At 47.3% G+C, this 18,664-nt stretch overlaps 1 protein-coding gene across 5 annotated transcripts in view, besides 5 other annotated features; it reads right to left on the reverse strand.

The window, feature by feature from the left end:
- Positions 1-201: 201 nt before the first annotated feature.
- TMEM40 (transmembrane protein 40) overlaps positions 202-18,664 on the reverse strand; it is a 35,930-nt gene continuing 17,467 nt past the window's right edge. For 3 of the 5 annotated variants that reach the window (NM_001284406.2, NM_018306.4, XM_011533937.3), the window contains 11 exons: positions 16,434-16,514; positions 15,329-15,466; positions 10,574-10,663; positions 9,128-9,181; positions 5,227-5,262; positions 4,810-4,842; positions 4,381-4,428; positions 3,438-3,509; positions 3,252-3,326; positions 2,229-2,291; positions 202-1,467 (listed from right to left, as the gene is read on the reverse strand). In NM_001284406.2, the coding sequence (NP_001271335.1) occupies positions 1,448-1,467; positions 2,229-2,291; positions 3,252-3,326; positions 3,438-3,509; positions 4,381-4,428; positions 4,810-4,842; positions 5,227-5,262; positions 9,128-9,181; positions 10,574-10,663; positions 15,329-15,466; positions 16,434-16,514 (710 nt within the window). In that variant the 3' untranslated portion in view covers positions 202-1,447. The remainder of the gene's footprint in view (positions 1,468-2,228; positions 2,292-3,251; positions 3,327-3,437; positions 3,510-4,380; positions 4,429-4,809; positions 4,843-5,226; positions 5,263-9,127; positions 9,182-10,573; positions 10,664-15,328; positions 15,467-16,433; positions 16,515-18,664) is intronic. The other 2 variants (NM_001284407.2, NM_001284408.2) reach the window with 2 other exon arrangements.
- Positions 4,922-5,744: an enhancer, noted in NCBI's record as "H3K27ac-H3K4me1 hESC enhancer chr3:12779747-12780569 (GRCh37/hg19 assembly coordinates)". NCBI's record gives its function as "activates a minimal SCP1, AML or CMV promoter by ChIP-STARR-seq in naive H9 embryonic stem cells {active_cell/tissue: H9 hESC(naive)}" and the evidence as "EXISTENCE:reporter gene assay evidence [ECO:0000049][PMID:30033119]".
- Positions 7,782-7,881: an enhancer, noted in NCBI's record as "active region_19451". NCBI's record gives its function as "activates an Ori minimal core promoter by ATAC-STARR-seq in GM12878 lymphoblastoid cells {active_cell/tissue: GM12878}" and the evidence as "EXISTENCE:reporter gene assay evidence [ECO:0000049][PMID:35858748]".
- Positions 8,142-8,201: a silencer, noted in NCBI's record as "silent region_14067". NCBI's record gives its function as "represses an Ori minimal core promoter by ATAC-STARR-seq in GM12878 lymphoblastoid cells {active_cell/tissue: GM12878}" and the evidence as "EXISTENCE:reporter gene assay evidence [ECO:0000049][PMID:35858748]".
- Positions 15,975-16,024: an enhancer, noted in NCBI's record as "active region_19452". NCBI's record gives its function as "activates an Ori minimal core promoter by ATAC-STARR-seq in GM12878 lymphoblastoid cells {active_cell/tissue: GM12878}" and the evidence as "EXISTENCE:reporter gene assay evidence [ECO:0000049][PMID:35858748]".
- Positions 16,295-16,444: a silencer, noted in NCBI's record as "silent region_14068". NCBI's record gives its function as "represses an Ori minimal core promoter by ATAC-STARR-seq in GM12878 lymphoblastoid cells {active_cell/tissue: GM12878}" and the evidence as "EXISTENCE:reporter gene assay evidence [ECO:0000049][PMID:35858748]".

Raw genomic sequence — 18,664 nt, forward strand, 5'->3', positions numbered from 1 at the left:
GAGGTTGCAGTGAGCTGAGATCACACCACTTCACTCCAGGCTGGGCAAAAGAGCAAAACTCTGTCTCAAGAAAAAGAAAGAAAGAAAGAAAGAAAGAAAATAAAATCACAGCCAGGCAGTGGCAGAGCTGGCCACAGGGACCCATCATTCCTATAAAATGAGGCTAACCACATTGTTCCCAAGTCAGTAAGTTCATACTTCTATCGTGAAAACTGTGTTTTATTTATATGTTTAATAAATATCTGATCTGTGCACTCTGGGCTCCCGTTAAATTAGGTTACATACAAGTACTTGAAATCAAAACCTCAGAAGTTACCCTTCTGAGTTTTGAGAACAGCATGTCTGTGACCATCAAGAACTCAGTTCAAGTTCAGGATATCAATCACATAGCATGGTGACCATAGTTAATAACAATGTATTGTATACTTTGCAAATTGCTGACAGTAGGTTTTTACTGTTCTCATCATAAAAAAAGGGTATGTGAGGGATACATATGTTAATTAGCTTGATTTAGCCATTCCACATATTTCAAAACATGTTGTACACTACAAATACATGCAATTTTTATTTGTCTTTTTTTTTTTTTTTTAATTTTAGAGAAACGATCTTGCTCTGTCGCCCAGGCTGGAGTGCAGTGGCTTGATCGTACCTCACTGCAGCCCTGAACTCCTGGGCTCAAGCAGTCCTCCTGCCTCAGCCTCTTGAGTAGCTGGAACCGCAGGTATGTACAGGTATGTACCGCCACATTTGGTCATTAAAAAAAAATTGTAGAGATGGGGGTCTCACTATGTTGCCCAGGTTGGTCTTGAACTCTCAGCTTCAAGCGACCCTTAGCCTGAGCCTCCCAAAGTGCGAGGATTACAGTTGTGAGCCCCCATGCCTGGCTGCCATTTAGTTTCTGATGATCATTTTCCTGCCTTTTTTTTTGGGTGCAAAAAAAATGGTTTTAGTCCTCAGCATCTTACCTGCATCAGGTTCACCAAGGGGCCCCAGCCCGATGGCTCCCTGCCTCAAAGCAGTGGACCATCCATCTCTCCCAGGATGGCTCGGTAGCACCTGAGAGCGCATGCAGATAGCCTGGGATTTGAGAAAAACCATGAACCCAGACAGATCACAGCTTGCAGAGCTCAGGGTCCCTTGCTGTCCTCTGAGAGCAGTGACCTCCCAGAATCTTCCTGCTGGTCCAGGTACTGTGAAGCCTCAGGCCCCACACCCACCCTCTGCCTTCCATCCTTGCAGCTGGGTTGCACAGCAGTACTGCCCAAATGAGATGCCCCTGCCCGGGCTGGTGCCAACATTCAGACCACATGGAAGGAAAAGTGTTCTGTTTATTGGTCTGGCTTGGTCTCCTGTGCGTCTCTCAGAATGCTGCTCTGCCCTTGTGGGCTCAGGGGTCGCAGTGGTGGTCACACTGGGGCCTGCCTCTGCTGCCCACCTGGAAGTGGCCTCAGTCAGTCTTCCTGAACCCTGGAAGGCAAAGACCACAGGATGGCATGGGATTCTGAAGGCAGCCAGGCTTCATCCCCACCATCACCTCAGATGCCCAAGTACCCCTCACAGCTGGCATGATGTAGTCACCCCAGAAGCCATGGGTCTCAATGAACCACAGTCATAATAGCTAGTTTTCTTTTTCTTCATTACATGGATTAAAGGAGACAGATATTTCCCCAGCACAGCCACACAGCCACTTGGCCTCTCCATTCTGAGGCATAAGGTGGTCACAGAGCTGTTAGTCAAGAAAGACGATGTGCTTTCGCCCAGCCCAGCCACTAAAGCTGTGTGACTGTGGGCGAGTCACTCCACCTCTCTGAGCCTCATTTTCCTATTGGTCAAGTGTAACATTGCTAAAGCCTACCTCCCCAGTTGCTATTAGGCAAGTACAGCCATGGAGAAGACAGCGTTTGGGGAAGTGTAAAGTTCTATAAGAGAATGAAGACTAACCAGACCATTTTTCTACTGTTTCACACTTCAGGCCTTTGCATCCATTCCTCACTTGATCTTCACAACACACTTGTGCAGCAGAAAAGTATTACACCTATTTTCCAGTTGAGGAAACCGAGGCTACACGGCTCATCCAGGGTCACAGAGCTAGTAAACTGGCAGAGGTAGGACTCAAACCTGGGTCCTCTGCCTCCAGGCTGTGTTCTTTCCTGTATGCTAAGCCTCTTTCTAAATGAAGACCCTGCTAGGGAGAAAATGAGTGAACACAGGAAGACTTTAAAAGTTACCTGTCAGCCTAAACTTCTGGAAGAGGGGGATGAAGCCTTGGAGGACGCTGTGGATACGGTACACTGCTCAGAAGCAAAGAAAAAAGTAAGTTAAGTTTGTGCCCCAACAAGGGACACCAGGCCACCACTGGACAAGGGCCTAACTCATGCAAACAAAGCTCTGATGGTGGAACTTCAGGCAGCAGGTTAAGCTTAGATAATGGTACTAGAGTTATTATTACTAAAAACAACAACCACGAACAGCAGAAGTAGTGGCAGGAAACTCACTCACCAAATTCAGTTCCCAACTCCATTAACTAACTTGTTTTCAGTATCTGGCTAGTTCTATTTTGTTTGCCACTTTTATTTATTTATTTTATAGACAGAGTCTTGCTATGTTGCCCAGGCTGAACGAATTCCTGGGCTCAAGCAATCCTCTTGCCCCAATCTCCTGAGTAACTGGAATTACAGGCGTGTGCCCTGGGCCCGGCCTCTTTGGCACTTTAAACTGTTGCTGTTGCATTGTATGGAGCTGCCTGTTTTTCCCACAGGGTTTTGCCAGTGACCTTACATTGACCTTGAAAGTGGTGAGGAAGAAAACATGAGCATAAGGAAATTTTTTTTTTTTTTTTTGAGACAGAGTCTCGCTCTGTTGCCCAGGCTGGAGTGCAGTGGCACAAGCTTGGCTCACTGCAACCTCCGCCTCCTGGGTTCAAGCACTTCTCCTGTCTCAGCCTCCCGAGTAGCTGAGATTACAGACATGCGCCACCAGGCCTGGCTAATTTTTTGTATTTTTAGTAGAGACAGAGTTTCACCATGTTGGTCAAGCTGGTCTCAAACTCCTAACCTCAGGTGATCCACACACCTCAGCCTCCCAAAGTGCTGGGATTACAGGCGTAAGCCACCGCGCCTGGCCAGAAAATTTTTTTAAAAGTGTAGATTGTGACTCTCTGGTCCATACTTGAATGAGTATGAAAATGAATATTTCTACCCACGACCCCTCCAAGAGACTGTGTGTGTGTCCATGCTGGGGGAGGGGCTTACCTAGTCCGAAGTAGATGCCAACGGTTTCCAGGGAGGCGAAGGTGAGCAGGCCGACCCCAAGAGACATGAACCAGTCTGGAAGGGCAGTGAGGGAGGGAATGGTCAGCCTCCAGGTCTTGACGCCCCTGCCCCCTGCACCACCCCATGCCATCCCCCTTGTGCATTCCCCAGGGCACCTCCCCTCACCTGCGTAATAGTGATAACACACCAGCAAGGCCCCGATGGCAAAGCACAGGAGGACGAAATGGAAAAACTCATCTGTGAAGGCAGGGGTGGGCAATCACTATCTGCTGCTTTCTCTCTCTTTTTTTGGGCAGAGGAGACAAGGTCTTGCTCTGTCACCCAGGGTGGAGTGCAGTTGTGCGATCCCAGCTCATTGCAGCCTTGAAGTCCTGGGCTTAAGCAATTCTCCTGCTTTAGCCTCACAAGCAGCAAGGCCTACAAGTGCATGCCACCACACCCAGCAAATTTTTAAAATTTTTAGTAGAGATAAGGTCTCGCTATGTTGCCCAGGCTGGTCTCGAACTCCTGGCTTCAAGCAATCCTCTCATCTCGGCCTCCCAAAGTATTGGGATTACAGCTGTGAGCCACCATGCCTGGCCTCTTTTTTTTTTTTTTTTTAATTACAAAAAATCTCTGTGTGGAGCACCATGGTCTTTCCTCTTGCCCTCCCCTTCCTCCTAGAAGTCCCCATGGATTCCAGGCCTGGAGCAGGGAAGTTGCTCCCATTTTCACTGCTCCTTTCCGATTCTGGTCTAATCTAACCTTACAACTTTCTCAGCTCAGCTGACCCTCCAGTTCCCCATCCTGGCCACAAGACCTGGAAGGTATTTACCATCCTAGTGACTGTGCATAGCAGAAAGAGCAGAGGACCAGGGCTCAAGCTCAGGCCACTCCACTCACAAGCTGTAAGGCCACTCCCCAACCTTGAACCTCAGTTTTCATATCTGCAAAATGGGAACCATTGTCCCACCCTGTTGAGGTGATTCTGAGCTGAGTAATGTGTAAACTGCAGGGCACACGACAGAGGTGGGCTATGATTACTGCTGTGCTAGGCCACCAGCTGCATTTCACCCCTAGAAATCTAGCCAGACAGGAAAAAGCAGCTCTGCTACACCAAGTTCCTTACCATCTTTCTTTATATTCAGTCTTCTTAACTGAGAGGCCTCCACTTCTCCTTAAGAACAAGAGAGAGATGAATATTTAACTTTGATGCAGGACGGGAGGTGGGATTTTCTTTTCCCTGCCTCATTGAGAATTAATATCCTGGGTATATCTTCCTGGGTCAGAGGGCACTCACTGCAGGACCAGTCAAACTGTGAAGATGGGGGTACTGTCCTTGGAACCCCCACTGACTTCCTCCTCCTTCCTTAGGCCCGAGTCTGCCTTCCTTTCCATTTCCCCTGCACTGGAGATCCCCCTTCTGAATCATAGTGACACTGGCTGGCGACAGCATCCCTGCTGGGACTAACCCACCCTCTCAGGCTGTCTGAGGACCCAACCCATCGTCTGGAATCCACACCCGCTCTGGCTCTCCTATTTGAGCTTGTGTATTTACCACTTGCTGGGTCAGAGCCTCTCCTTCGGAGTCCTGGAAACAAGAAACTCAACATTAGTGCCCAACCCCGCTTGGGGTCCTTAACAGGTGCCTCCACCCTGGGGAAGGCTATAGGTGACCTAAAAAAATGTCCCCATGGAATTCTGCAGCCCCCACGGTATCCTTCTCTCTATTGATGGCTGGTTGGTTGTAATCTCCTGGGGTCTTGCTGGGACAGCCTTCCAAGCTCCCCAGGCTCCCTGCTTCATGCCACAGCTGGCCCAGCCTGCTTGATGAGCCTAGGCTAAGTGGACCTGGGGCTCCTGTTTCTCAGAGCCAGGTATCCCAACAGGTGCTGGCTCTCTTGGGGGAGAGGTGATGCCTAGACCTGGCTCAATACCAGCACCAACGACCTCTCTCCTCTAACTGGACACTCACCTGATTCCCCAGAGGGTACCACCTCTCCAGGAGCATCTGCACAGAAAGGAAATCAGTGATCATATACCCATGATCCTCTGGGGGGGGAGAAGTCATGCTTCAGGGAAGGTGGATCCTGCTCGGAGACTTCCCACTTAATCTGGAGTCGGCCAGGTGGGGAATGGAGCCGGCTGGAGGGTTCCTGTTCCAACTAAAGGGGCAGCCACCACCCACCAGCCACAGAAAGCTGCTGTAGGAACGCCTACCCACTCTTACAGGTCTGTCAATTTCCCCAGAGAAGCCAGGTTTTCAGGTAAACTTCCCAATTATGAAAAAGTTTGGGCCGCACGCGGTGGCTCATGCCTGTAATACCAGCACTTTGGGAGGCCAAGGTGGGCGGATCACGAGGTCAAGAGACTGAGACCATTCTGGCTAAGATGGTGAAACCCCGTCTCTACTAAAAATACAAAAATTAGCTGGGCATGGTAGCACACACCTGTAGTCCCAGCTACTCGGGAGGCTGAGACAGGATAATCGCTCAAACCCAGGAGACAGAGGCTGCAGTGAGCCAAGATCACACCACTGCACTCCGGCCTGGCGACAGAGCGATACTCCATCTCAAACAAAAAAAAAAGTTTGGTAACTCTTGTACTCCATGAATCAAAATGCCATTGCTTGTGAGACATGACATTATTTTATGTACTACTATGTAAGAAAAGCCCTTGACATTTACAATTGTAAGTTGCCAGTGATATATATATATATTTTTTTGAGACAGAGTCTTGCTCTGTTGCCCAGGATGGAGTGCAGTGGTGCAATCTCGGCTCACTGCAAGCTCCGCCTCCCGGGTTCATGCCATTCTCCTGCCTCAGCCTCACGAGTAGCTGGGACTACAGGCGCCCGCCACCACGCCTGGCTAATTTTTTGTATTTTTAGTAGAGACGGGGTTTCACCATGTTAGCCAGGATGGTCTCGATCTCCTGACCTCGTGATCCACCCACCTCAGCCTCCCAAAGTGCTGGGATTACAGGCATGAGCCACCATGCCTGGCTGCCAGTGATTTTTTTTTAATAGAGACAGGGTCTTATTATGTTGCCCAGGCTGGTCTTGAACTCCTGGGCTCAAGCAATCCTCCCACCTTGGCCTCCCAAAGTGCTGGGATTATAGTCATGAACTACTATGCCTAACTTTGCCAGTGATTTTTAAGATGCATCCTGATTTCAGAAATATTCAAATGTGAAAAAAATGTGGTATAGAATTGATGAAATATATTCACATTCATAATTTTATTTTTAAAATTTATTTATTTAGAGACAGGTTCTCTCTCTGTCATCCAGGTTGCAGGGCAATGGCGCAATCATGACTCACTGCAGTCTCAAACTCTTGGGCTCAAGCAATCTTCCTGCCTCAGCCTCCCAAGTAGCTGGGATTACAGGTGTGAGCCACCATGTCTGGCTCTCACAATCATAATTTTACATATATAATATATATAAATTTATATATAATATACTTATATATTATATAACACAAATTATAAATATTATATATTTATAATATTTATTTATTTATTTATTTATTTTGAGACAGAGTCTCACTGTGCCACCCAGGCTGGAGTGCAGCGGCATGATCTCAGCTCACTGCAACCTCTGCCTCCCGGGTTCAAGCAATTCTCCTGCCTCAGGCTCCTGAGTAGCTGGGATTACGGGTGCCACCACACCTGGCTAATTTTTGTATTTTTAGTAGAGACAGGGTTTTGCCACGTTGGCCAGGCTGGTCTTGAACTCCCAACCTCAAGTGATCCACCTGCCTCAGCCTCCCAAAGTGCTGGGATTACAGGCATGAGCCACAGCGCCTGGCCACACAATCATAATTTTAAAAAAGCATTCTGGGCCAGGTGTGGTGGCTCACGCCTCTAATCCCAGCACTTTGGGAGGCCGAGGCGGGTGGATCACGAGTTCAGGAGATCGAGACCATCCTGGCTAACACGGTGAAACCCCATCTCTACTAAAAATACCAAAAAAAAAAAAAAAAAGCTTTCTGTGTGGGCCAGGTGCGATGCTTCACTCTTGTAATCCCAGCACTTTGGAAGGCCGAGGTGGGTAGATCACTTGAGTCCAGGAGTTCAAGACCAGCTTGGGCCACAGGGTAAAACCCTGTCTCTACCAAAAATACAAAAATTAGCTGGGCATGGTGTCGCATACATGTAGTCCCAGCTTCTCAGGAGGCTAAGGTAGGAGAATCGCTTGAGCCCAGGAGGTGGAGGTTGCAGTGAGCCGAGATGGTACCACTGCACTCAAGCCTGAGCAACAGAGTGAGACAGCATCCCAAAAAAAACAAAAAATGAAAAACAAACCTCCCCCTCCCCTGCCCCCCAAAAAACCATTCTGTGAGCCAGATAAAAAGCATCTGCCCACATGGGCCACCCATTTGCACATGCCTGCTCCAGGCTATCCAGATGCATGTGATGACACCTGCTGCCTTTTACCCATAGAACTCTGGACTAGACAGGCAACTCCAAGCTCATGCCATCTTGCTGGCTTCTAGACCTACCAGGCTCTGAGCATGTGGGAGCCAAGCTGGCTTGTACACCTCGATCCTTGGCTCCCACCATGATTGTTGAGCCACTTGTCTGGGCTGCTGAGGGTGAGTTGAGCCCTACAGACCTGAGCTGCCACCTCTGCATTATTCCAGTCCTGGGCGTCCTTCCCATACCATTCACCATGTGGTTCTTGGTGCCTGTTCTAGTTCCCTGGTGACCTTGCTCCTAGCCTGTCATCTTCTTCCCCTCAAGGGCAGACAGGCACTTGTATGATCTTCCAATCATCAGGCCCCGACTTCTGTAGTTTCCTGTCCCTCAGGGCAGCCCCAGGACACAAACACCACAAGAGGCACTTAGCATGTGACAACAGGCACTCAGCACACTGAACACTATATGCAAAGTGACCAGAGGGGCCAATACAGAGAGTGCAGAGAGCATACCAAGGACAACATGAAATGAGAACTCAAGCAATGTAATTTACCAAGCACCTCCAATGTCTGGGGGAAGGAAGTAATTCATGAATAAGTGAATGTATCTACATTTTCTACAGTGAATATGAATTACTTAATGAGAAAAATATTTTAAAATACACATAAACATAAAGGTTTATCTTATTTTATACCCAGTGAAACCTTTCTTAAATTACTTGAGTAATTAAACGCATTTTTCTAAACCAGATTATACTTGTTTTTGTAACAAAAAAAAAAAAAAAAAGAAAGAAGGAAAGAAAGAAAGAAAGAAGGACCAGGTGCAGTGGCTCACGCCTGTAATTCTGGCACTTTGGGAGGCCAAGGCCGGAGGATCACTTGAGCTCAGTAGTTCGAGACCAGCCTGGGCAACATGGCAAAACTCTGTCTCTACTAAAAAATACAAAAAATTGGCCGGGCGCGGTGGCTCACGCCTGTAATCCCAGCACTTTGGGAGGCCGAGGCGGGCGGATCAGGAGGTCAGGAGACCGAGACCATCCTGGCCAACATAGTGAAACCCTGTCTCTACTAAAAATACAAAAAATTAGCTGGGCTGGTGGTGGGCGCCTGTGGTCCCACCTACTCGGGAGGCTGAGGCAGGAGAATCACTTGAATTGGGGAGGTGGAAGTTGCAGTGAGCCAAGATCACACCACTGCACTCCAGCCTGGGCGACAGAGTGAGACTCCGTCTCAAAACAAACAAACAAAAACCCCAGAAAATGTAGGATTTCCCCAAGACAATCTCATGCCCGCCTCCCCACCTGCCAATGTTATAACCACCCAACTGGCCACATCTCCTGTATTTGGCTGGGACTTTTCAGCTCATGAATCACCCTCATGACCTTGTTTCTGCCCAGCAAAGCCCTCTTTTCCTTCGTCTAATTGTTTTCTCCAAAGCTACTGGGCAACTGATTACCTCCATAGAGTTGAAGCTCATCCTTCAAAACGTCAGGCTCCCCATGCCCAGGACCTGGATGGAGACAAACCCCTTAGTCAGCACTCCCCAAACACAGTGATCCAGGCCACTTCCCTCTCCCATGGCTTCGACGCTTAAGAAGTACCACAGTCCTTGTGCTGGAGGTGAGGTGGGGGGCAGTCTTCAGGAGGCAAGGCAGCACAAGTACCTTCCCTTTGCCCTCTCTGATGCCCCCAGAACTTCCAGAGGTGACCACACTCAGAAAGCACTCAAGACCTGAGAGGACCTGGACCTTGCTCAAGGTTAATAGTGGGTATATACTGGGCACTAGCATGCACCAACACTGTACTAAGTGATTTATATTTAATACCTCATTTGCTCCTCACGGATATCCTATGAAGAAGGTATTAGTACCTACCCCACCCATTATACAGATAAGGACACTGAGGCTCAAATAGTTAAATTATTTTCCCAAAGTCATATAGCCAGCAAGTGGCAACTCTACCAGGTCTGTTGCCAAAGCCTGCATTCCTAATCATGTTTATATCCAGAAATAGAACCCAGGGCTCAGCTCTAGCCTCATGGGCAGCATTTATTAAACACCTTCTGTGTGGCAGGTTCTGTACTATACAATAATTCACCCCTTTTCCCCATGCTCTTTCCTTCTTATGAAATTTGTTGTTTATTTCTTTTGCAAAAATTATTTCCTGGTTGTAAAAGTAAAACATGCTCGGCCAGGCACGGTGGCTCACCTCTGTAATCCCAGCACTTTGGGAGGCCAAGGTGGGTAGATCACTTGAGTCCAGGTGTTTGAGACAGGCCTGGGCAACATGGTAAAACCCTGTCTCTACTAAAAATACAAAATTAGCCAGGCATGGTGGCGCATGCCTGTAATCCTAGCTACTTGGGAGGCTGAAGCGGGAGAATCACTTGAACCCCAGAGGTGGAGGTTGTGGTGAGCTGAGATCACGCCATTGCACTCCAGCCTGGGCAACAAGAGCGAAACCCTGTCTCCAAAAAATAAATAAATAAAATAAAAAATAAAACATGCTCATTGTAAATTATTTATAGTATAGGACAGTTCAAAAAAGGGAAAATAAAAATCACTTATAATTCCACCATCCTGAGATAACCACTATTAACATTTTAGCATTTTTCCTTCTAGTCTTGATTATAACCATATATGTCTGAATTTTTATAAAGCATAAACGAGATCAAATTGATTCTATGATTTGGCATCTTTCTTTTTCAGTTCAGCGATAGATGAAGAGCAGAGCTGTCACCAGGGCAGGGTGTAGCATCCTTTATCTATTCTGCTGCTGTCAGGCTATTTCCTATTTTATCCTGCCATAAACAATGCTGTGAAGAACATCACACTTCAGTCCCACGGAGAAACTCAACGGTGAGCGAGTGGGCAAAAGAAAAATGGTAAGGCCTATTTCCTACCGGGTGAGCCGTTCCCGTGGGGGTATCCAGCCCCCAGGCTCCGTCGATGTTTTCCGGTTGCTCTGGGTTGCTGGTCCTCATCATTGCTCTCTGCGGGTAACAAACACAAGCTGTAGGAGAAGCTCAGCCTGGAACAAGCTGGGAATGCGTTCATTCTGGTGGCCATTCTCAGAATTTAGTTTATGAGAAGAGTGTGGTTTGGTGGGAGGAACTCTGATTTGGGGACTGGAGGTAGGAGACCTGCCACTCCCTTTAGGTGTGACTTTGCACAAATCCCTTAATATTTCTGTTGATTTCGTGTCTACATAATATTTCTGCTTCTGCCTTGCCTACTTCATAAGACTTCCATGAAGATAAGATAAGGTCCCATGAGGCATCATAGTACTGAGATGGCTTCCATCCCACCAAGTGCAGGGGCTGTGTCATCTCTGTTTCCCCACCCATCATGCTGGCTCTGGATGTTTGCTGTGTCTCCCACCCCCCTGGAATATCCTTCCTGTTTGTCTGTGTTATTGAGAAGCTTAAGCTGATGTCACACCTCCTGTAGAAAGCCTTTGCCAACTGCCCCAGCTCACACTGGTCTTGCCTTTCCCTGCTGGGGTTTCTATAGCACCAGCTGTCTGTGCTTGACTCAGTGGACATGAGGGCCAGCGGTCTTGTGATGTGCCTCTCTCCAACCATTTCATCTCCTGAAGGACATGACCTGGGTTCTCCACCCTGCAAGGGTGCCCAGCTAGGAACAGGAGCTTGATCAAGACTTGAAAATGGTTGTCATTTGTGCTCTTTGGCCAGTCAGCATTCCAAGAATTCAGGTCTAGGAGTTTCTGGCTCCAGGTCCAGAAGACTCCTTTATCCCAAGACAGGACCGTGGGGACCTCCCAGTCAGTCATGGGTCAATTTAAAAAATTCCAGGAAACCAAATTAATTGTGTTTAAACATCAGTGCATCTGTGATCTCAACTGGATAAGGAGGAAGAGGGATTGGGAAGCTCAACAAAATAACAACGGTGGTGTTTATCTCAGGAGAGAGGATTTTGGGTGACTTCTATTTTCTTCTTTTCTATATTTTACAAATATTCATCAGTGCAAAAAATGACTTTTTATTGCTAAAAAGATAATGCATGTTGCAAAATAAAGAAATATAGAAAATAAAGTAAAAATTATTCCAATTTTTTTTTGAGACGGAATTTTGCTCTTGTTGCCCAGGCTGAAGTGCAATGGCGTGATCTCAGCTCACTGCAACCTCCACCTCCCAGGCACAAGCGATTCTCTTGTCTCAGCCTCCTAAGTAGCTCAGATTACAGGCGTGCACCACCACACCTGGCTAATTTTTTTTTTTTTTTTTTTTTACTAGAGACGAGGTTTCACCATGTTAGTGAGGCTGGTCGTGAATTCCTGACCTCAGGTGATCCACCCACCTTGGACTCCCAAAGTGTTGGAATTACAGGTGTGCATCACCACACCTGGCAATTACTCCAAATTTTATCAGCTAGAGACAACTGCCATCAATGTGTGAATGAACATTGTTTTAGCTTTCTCTGTGATATATTCATAATACAATTTTTTTGGAGACAGGGTCTCACTCTGTCATCAAGGCCGAAGTGCAGTGGTACAATCAGGGCTTACTGTAGCCTTGACCTCCCAGGCTCAAGTGATCTTCACGCCCCAGCCTCCTGGGTAGCTGGGATTATAGGTATGTGCCACCATGCCCAGCTAATTTTTTGTATTTTAGTAGAGATGGGATTTCCCCATGTTGCCCACGCTGGTCTCGAACTCCTGGACTCAAGTGATCCACTCACCTTGGCCTCCCAAAGTGCTGGAATTACAGGCGTGAGCCACTGTGCCCAGCCTAATACAAGTTTTTAAATAAAAGGTATTATGGAATATATGCTGTTTAAAATGAAGACTATTTTTGTATATGCTCTCTGATTTAGTTATTTAAAAAGTTACCCAAACTGCAGAACTGTGAGCTAAATACACCTCTTTTCTTTTTCTTTTGCTTTTTCTTTTTTTTTTTGAAACGGAGTCTCACTCTGTCACCCAGGTTGGAGTGCAGCGGTGCAATCTCAGCTCACTGCTACCTCTGCCTCCCCGGCTTAAGTGATTCTCCTGCCTCAGCCTCCCGAGTAGCTGGGATTACAGGTGCCCACCACCACACCTGGCTAATTTTTGTATTTTTATTAGAGACGAGGTTTCACCATGTTGGCCAGGCTGGTCTTGAACTCCTGACCTCAGGTGATCTGCCCGCCTCGGCCTCCCAAAGTGCTGGAATTGCAGGAGTGAGCCACTGTGCCCAGCCTCTTTTCTTTATAAATTAAAAAATAATAATAATAACCGCGGCAGAAAGATTCACTGTTCATTGCTAGTCCCTAGTACCCATCACAAAGACTGGCACATATTTGGTGCTCAGTAAATATTTGTTAAATAAATGTAAGGAATACACTAATATGTTTTGGGTGGTTATCTCTGGGTAATGGGGCAAAGGATGATTTGTTTTCTCATATTTTCTGTTTCGCTATATGCTCTATATTTTCTACAGTGTACCTGTGTGTAATCTTTTACAGTTGAAAACAAAACTGCATCTAAAATTAACTGGATTAAAACAGGTATGTGGGAGAGAGATGGTGGATGTGACTATGAGTGAGGGTCCTGCATGTGAGGACGGCAGGGCTGCGGTGAGGCACCCAGGCTCGGGGCCTTCTAGGGTAGCGGGTCACTGTCCGCGCCTGAAAAACAGGCGGCTATGTTCTGGCAGCAGGTCAGTCACCGTAGGATCAGGGACCAGGATCCTGAATGTCAGCCTGTCTTTATGCTTCTAGGACTCTGGCTTTCTCCCGCTGCTTTCTCTTAGCGCTCCATTTGGCTAATTTCAGCCAGTCCTATGTGTGAGGTGGAGACTCCAGGGTGTCTGGGTGCCAGGGATTATGGTCACATGGGGGACATTTTCGGAGGAGCAGCACTCCTTGAGAGACAACCAGAACCAGAGGACGGAACACTCCTTCCTGCCCAGGGAGGAGAAACAAAAGGAGAGGCAACAAACAGCCCCCTGCCTGCACCTGGAAGCTCTTCTTCCAGAGCCAAACCTCATACATGGTGGGCTTGTGTGTTTTCTCATTTTTTGTTTTTAAATGGGGCGATGGCTTCCTTTCCAGTGCCATGAGGAGACTGGCTACAAACAAACCCACGGGACCCACCGACCACTCTCCCTCGCCTGCTGAAATGATCATTGATTTTGTGGCTTTGGGCCTTGGTCTCAGCATTTGCAACATGAGGACATAAGACCAGAGCTTTTTTTTTTTTTTCCTTCCAGCCCAGAGACCTTTCATTAAATAAAGTCTTAAGCTCAAGCCCACCATAAAAGAGATCATAGTGCAGGAGCTCTGGTTGAGGAGGATTAGCCTCCCGGATCCCACAAAGACCTCCGGGGAATCCCAAGTTGGTTACTGAGCTCTCTTAGAGCAGGTCAGTTGCCCTCTCTGTGCCTCAGTTTTCTCACTTGTAAACTGGGAATAATAATAGTACCTTCCTTTATGGGTTGCTGTGAGAATTGAGTTATTACATGCAAGTGCTTACAACAGCTCCCAGCACAGAGTAAGCATTCAATAAATATTGCTGGTGCTACTACTATAAATTCAGCCTCATATTTTGAATTAAAAGAATACAAATGAAAGAACATTCTGCTGTTTCTTGGAGAATAATGTGGTTATTTGTAATCAGGATGTTATTGGAGGCCAGGCACAGTGGCTCACCCCTATAATCCCAGCACTTTGGGAGGCCGAGGTGGGCAGATCACCTGAGATCAGGAGTTCAAGACCAGCCTGGCCAACATAAAGAAACCCTATCTCTACTAAAAATACAAAAATTTGGCCAGGCATGGTGGTGGATGCCTGTAATCCCAGCTACTCGGGAGGCTGAGGCAGGAGAATCGCTTGAGCCCAGGAGGCGGAGGTTGCAGTGAGCCAAGATCACGCCGCTGCACTCTAGCCTGGGCAACAGAGCAAGATTCTGTCTCAAAAAAAAAAAAAAAAAAAAAAAAAAGATGCTATTGGATGTTGTTCCTCTAAACCCACTAAAGTACTTGCAAGGACTCAATACTTAGGAATGATTTGCACAAAAATTCAAAAGGCAAAAGCTTTCGCACAAGGATGCTCATGAGCATGATAAACCTGGGAGGGGAAGACCATAACACAACAATTACTTTTAGAGCTTTTAATATGTGCTACATGCTAAGACTTTACCTGTATAACGAATTTCATCCTCACAAGAATCCCATGAGGTATTATGTATTGCTCTCATCCCCATCTTCTAGATGAGGGCACTGAGGCGCCAGGGGTTGAGCAGTTTACCCAAGGACGTGTAGCTACTTAGTGGTAGAGACAGGATTTGAACCTGTAACACACGCTTTGACTATGGCACTGGGGTGCCTCTAATAAACCTAAATGTTACTTTACATGAGATGCAGCCACTTGAGGGGCTGTTCAGTAAACATTAAAAATAGCTACAGCGATATTACAGAACAACATGGCTAAAAGCTTAGGATAAGATGGGGAAAATTTTAAATGGAGGACAAAATTGCCTATACGATCAATGATAACTGTGTACGTAGAAGCACATGTAGACAGATCGGCTCTAGAAGAGAATGTGGAGAAACGGTATTGGAGTTTCAAGTACTTCAATGACTTCAAGTATGGGGGATTATTTCCCCATGTAAATCTTTTTCTTGAATAATATACATATATTTAAATCTCTGCTATACCTGAGGAGGAGGAGGATGAAGAAGATGAGGAGGATGAGGAGGAAGAGGAGGAGGAGGAAGAAGACTTGTTTCTCTCATATTGTTCTTGGGAAAAGAGTCCAGCCTTCCCATCTTGCTTGTGGAAATCTGTCTCTCCATCTACAAGGCACACAGAGGCCAGGGGATGAGCGTTTCCCACCCTTCCCACCCCAGGGACCACCCAGTCCTCTCCAGGGTTCTACTTGGATTTGGAGAGCCAGGAAGGACTGGATTATCTTCCCAAATATCTAGAGCCAATGCAACATGCAGGAGACCAAGGCTCTCAGAGATGCCAGGGGCTCACGGAAGGCTCAATACAGAGATTTATCTGAATATGGACTCAGAAAAGGGGTTTCTTTCTTTTTTTTTTGAGACGGAGTCTTGCTCTTTTGCCCAGGCTGGACTGCAGTGACGCTATCTCGGCTCACTGCAAGCTCTGCCTCTCGGGTTCATGCCATTCTCCTGCCTCAGCCTCCTGAGTAGCTGGGACTACAGGCGCCCACCGCCACACCCGGCTAATTTTTTGTATTTTTAGTAGAGACGGGGTTTCACCGTGTTAGCCAGGATGGTCTCGATCTCCTGACCTTCTGATCTGCCCGCCTCGGCCTCCCAAAGTGCTGGGATTACAGGCGTGAGCCGCCGCGCCCGGCCAGAAAAGGGGTTTCTAAGCCCCCTGCCTTGCCCAGAGACAGCTAGATTCTGTAGAGTAGTTGCTAATTTAGGATCCTCTGTACATTACAGCCAAGATGAGGTGTGATCAAGTCCTAAACCTTCCCATTCCCCATTCTGGGGTCACACAGGACCCTCTCCACCTTCTAGGGGTGCTCCCTAGTGCCAGCCCAAGCCCCCAGAGAATTCTTGAGATTTGGCAAGCAGCTGAGGGTCCCCATAGCTAGACAGCACAGGAGGACAGATTGGACCATGCAAATGTGTGTGTGCATGTGTGTAAAACCACTACTTCCCCATTTCAGCTGTGATTTGAGGCCCTGTGCAACGTGAGTTGAGCAGGGTCTTCTTCTGTCCCTTCTACTTTTGGACTCCACCTCCCATGTGGTTTTGCCCAGAGGGTCAGAGAAGGCAAACGTACAGTCTACATCTTCTGTTTCTCTGTGGACTTGACTGTTGTCCTGAGGCTGGGAGGAGGATGCTGAAGTCTCCATGGCTTTTCCTGGAGGAATAACAATAATCAGTAGTTAATATCACCTTAGTTAATATCTTAATATACAAAGAGCTTGGCAAATAAATAAGAAAAAGACAAACACTCAACATTCAAAGGAATAAGAAAAATAATTAACAAAAAAAATGGTAGTTCTGTTGGCAAGCAAGAAGGCCGGGGTAGTGGAGGGAGGAGGGTTAAGGGAGTGGGAATTGGGGTGGTGGGTATTGGTTAGGCAACTAGCAGGGGGCTTCATGAAGGAAATCAGTTTTTATCTGTGCCTGAAAAGTCAGGCACAATCCTTTTTCTTTTTCTTTTTTTTTTTTTGTGGAAACAGGGTGTCTCTATGTTGCCCAGGCTGGTCTTGAACTCCTGGGCTCAAGCAATTCTCCTACCTTGGCCTCCCAAAGTGCTGGGATTCAAGTGTGAGCCACCATGTCCAGCCTAGGTACAATTTTGACAGGAATGCAGATTTGAAGTTGGTGAACCAACTCCAATCCCACAAACATGGCCAACATCCAGGAATGACTAAGCAAAAAGGCAAGGGAATCCTGGGCCCCGGCCGGCCTCACACACAGAGCCACCTGCCACCTCTTGACAGCTACGTGCACAGGAAAGAAGTTTCTTTTAATGGAGCCCATGTGCTATGAGTCTCTGTTATAGCAGCTGAGCCAGGAAGTGCAGGCTTCCTTCTGATTCCTTGCCCTATTTCTTCTTCTCTCAGCTCTGAGGCTGAGACCTTAAATCTGAGAGGAGGTAGATTTACTAGTCTCTGATTCATTTATTTTTTACTTCTTTATTTGAGACAGAGGTCTTGCTATATCACCCAGTCTAGTCTTGAACTCCTGGGTTAAGGCAATCCTCCCACCGCAGCCTCCTGAGTAGCTGGGACTACAGGCACGTGCCACTGTGGCCAGCCTCTGACTCATTTAAACCATGTTTCTCAGCCTCAACACGACTGACATTTGGGACAGGGTAACACATTGTGAGATGTTTAGCAGCCTCCTCCCAGATGCCAGTAGCACTTTCCTGTTCAGCTATAACAATAAAAATGTCTCCAGACATTGCCAAATGACCCCTGTTGTGGGGCAAACATCACCCCCCATTTGAGAATGGTCTAGAGAATCTACCACAAGACCTTGGCAGGAAGCCTCCTCCCCTGTGTCTTAGAGCCAGATTGCCTGGGTTGGAATCCTGCCTCTGCCTCTTCTAGCGATGGAAGCATGGGCTAGTTACTTAATCCTTCACTGTGCCCTGGGTTTCTCATCTGTAAAACGGAGACAGTAATAGTGCTTACCTTATAGTATGTGAAAATGGCAGGACAGTCCTTAGCAGGGCCATTGTGAATGCGTGTTTCCTTCTCTACAGGCCTCCTCTTACCCTTGGACATTCAGTGTCCAGTCCCATCCCTGCTCATCCCCCATCTCGTAGGCCCCAGACTCCATTACCCGTTTTTTTTTTCTGTTTTTTGAGATGGAGTCTCGCTTCTGTCGCCCAGGCTGGAGTGCAGTGGCATGATCTCAGCTCACTGCAACCTCTGCCTCCCGGATTCAAGTGATTCTTCTGCCTCAGCCTCCGGAGTAGCTGGGATTACAGGCGCCACACCATGCTTGGCTAATTTTTGTATTTTTAGTAGAGACGTGGTTTCACCATATTGGCCAGGCTGGTCTCGAACTCCTGACCTTGTGATCCGCCCGCCTTGACCTCCCAAAGTGCTGGGATTACAGGCGTGAGCCACTGCGCCTGGCCTACCCTTTTCTAGAATAAAACTTCCCATTTCTCAGAGCAGAATTCAGCTAGGCATTAGGAAGTCACTAGCCATTAAAATGCATCGATATCGAGATGGAATGACTGACAGCAGAAGCCTCCAGGGCATATTTCTATTTTGAACAGGGTTCTCTGCACGCAACAGGTGACTAGTACATATTCATTGGCTGAGATCATCTCTAATGAAGGCATTTCAGCTAGAGTGGAGGAAGAGTTGTAGAGCCACGTGGGGGAAAGAGAGCTGCTGGCTGATGTCAGATAGACCGAAGTTTACAAAGTGATGAGCTCTTTTTCCAGTCTCATCTCCATCCTGCTCTGTGTCCTGGTCACACACAGCACTTTTGGCTTAGTCCATTCTTTCCTAATGTCAAAATTGCATCTGACCTTCCAAGCAC

The sequence above is a fragment of the Homo sapiens genome, chromosome 3 (genome assembly GCF_000001405.40).
Source record: "Homo sapiens chromosome 3, GRCh38.p14 Primary Assembly".
In the NCBI taxonomy this organism is placed as follows: domain Eukaryota; kingdom Metazoa; phylum Chordata; class Mammalia; order Primates; family Hominidae; genus Homo; species Homo sapiens.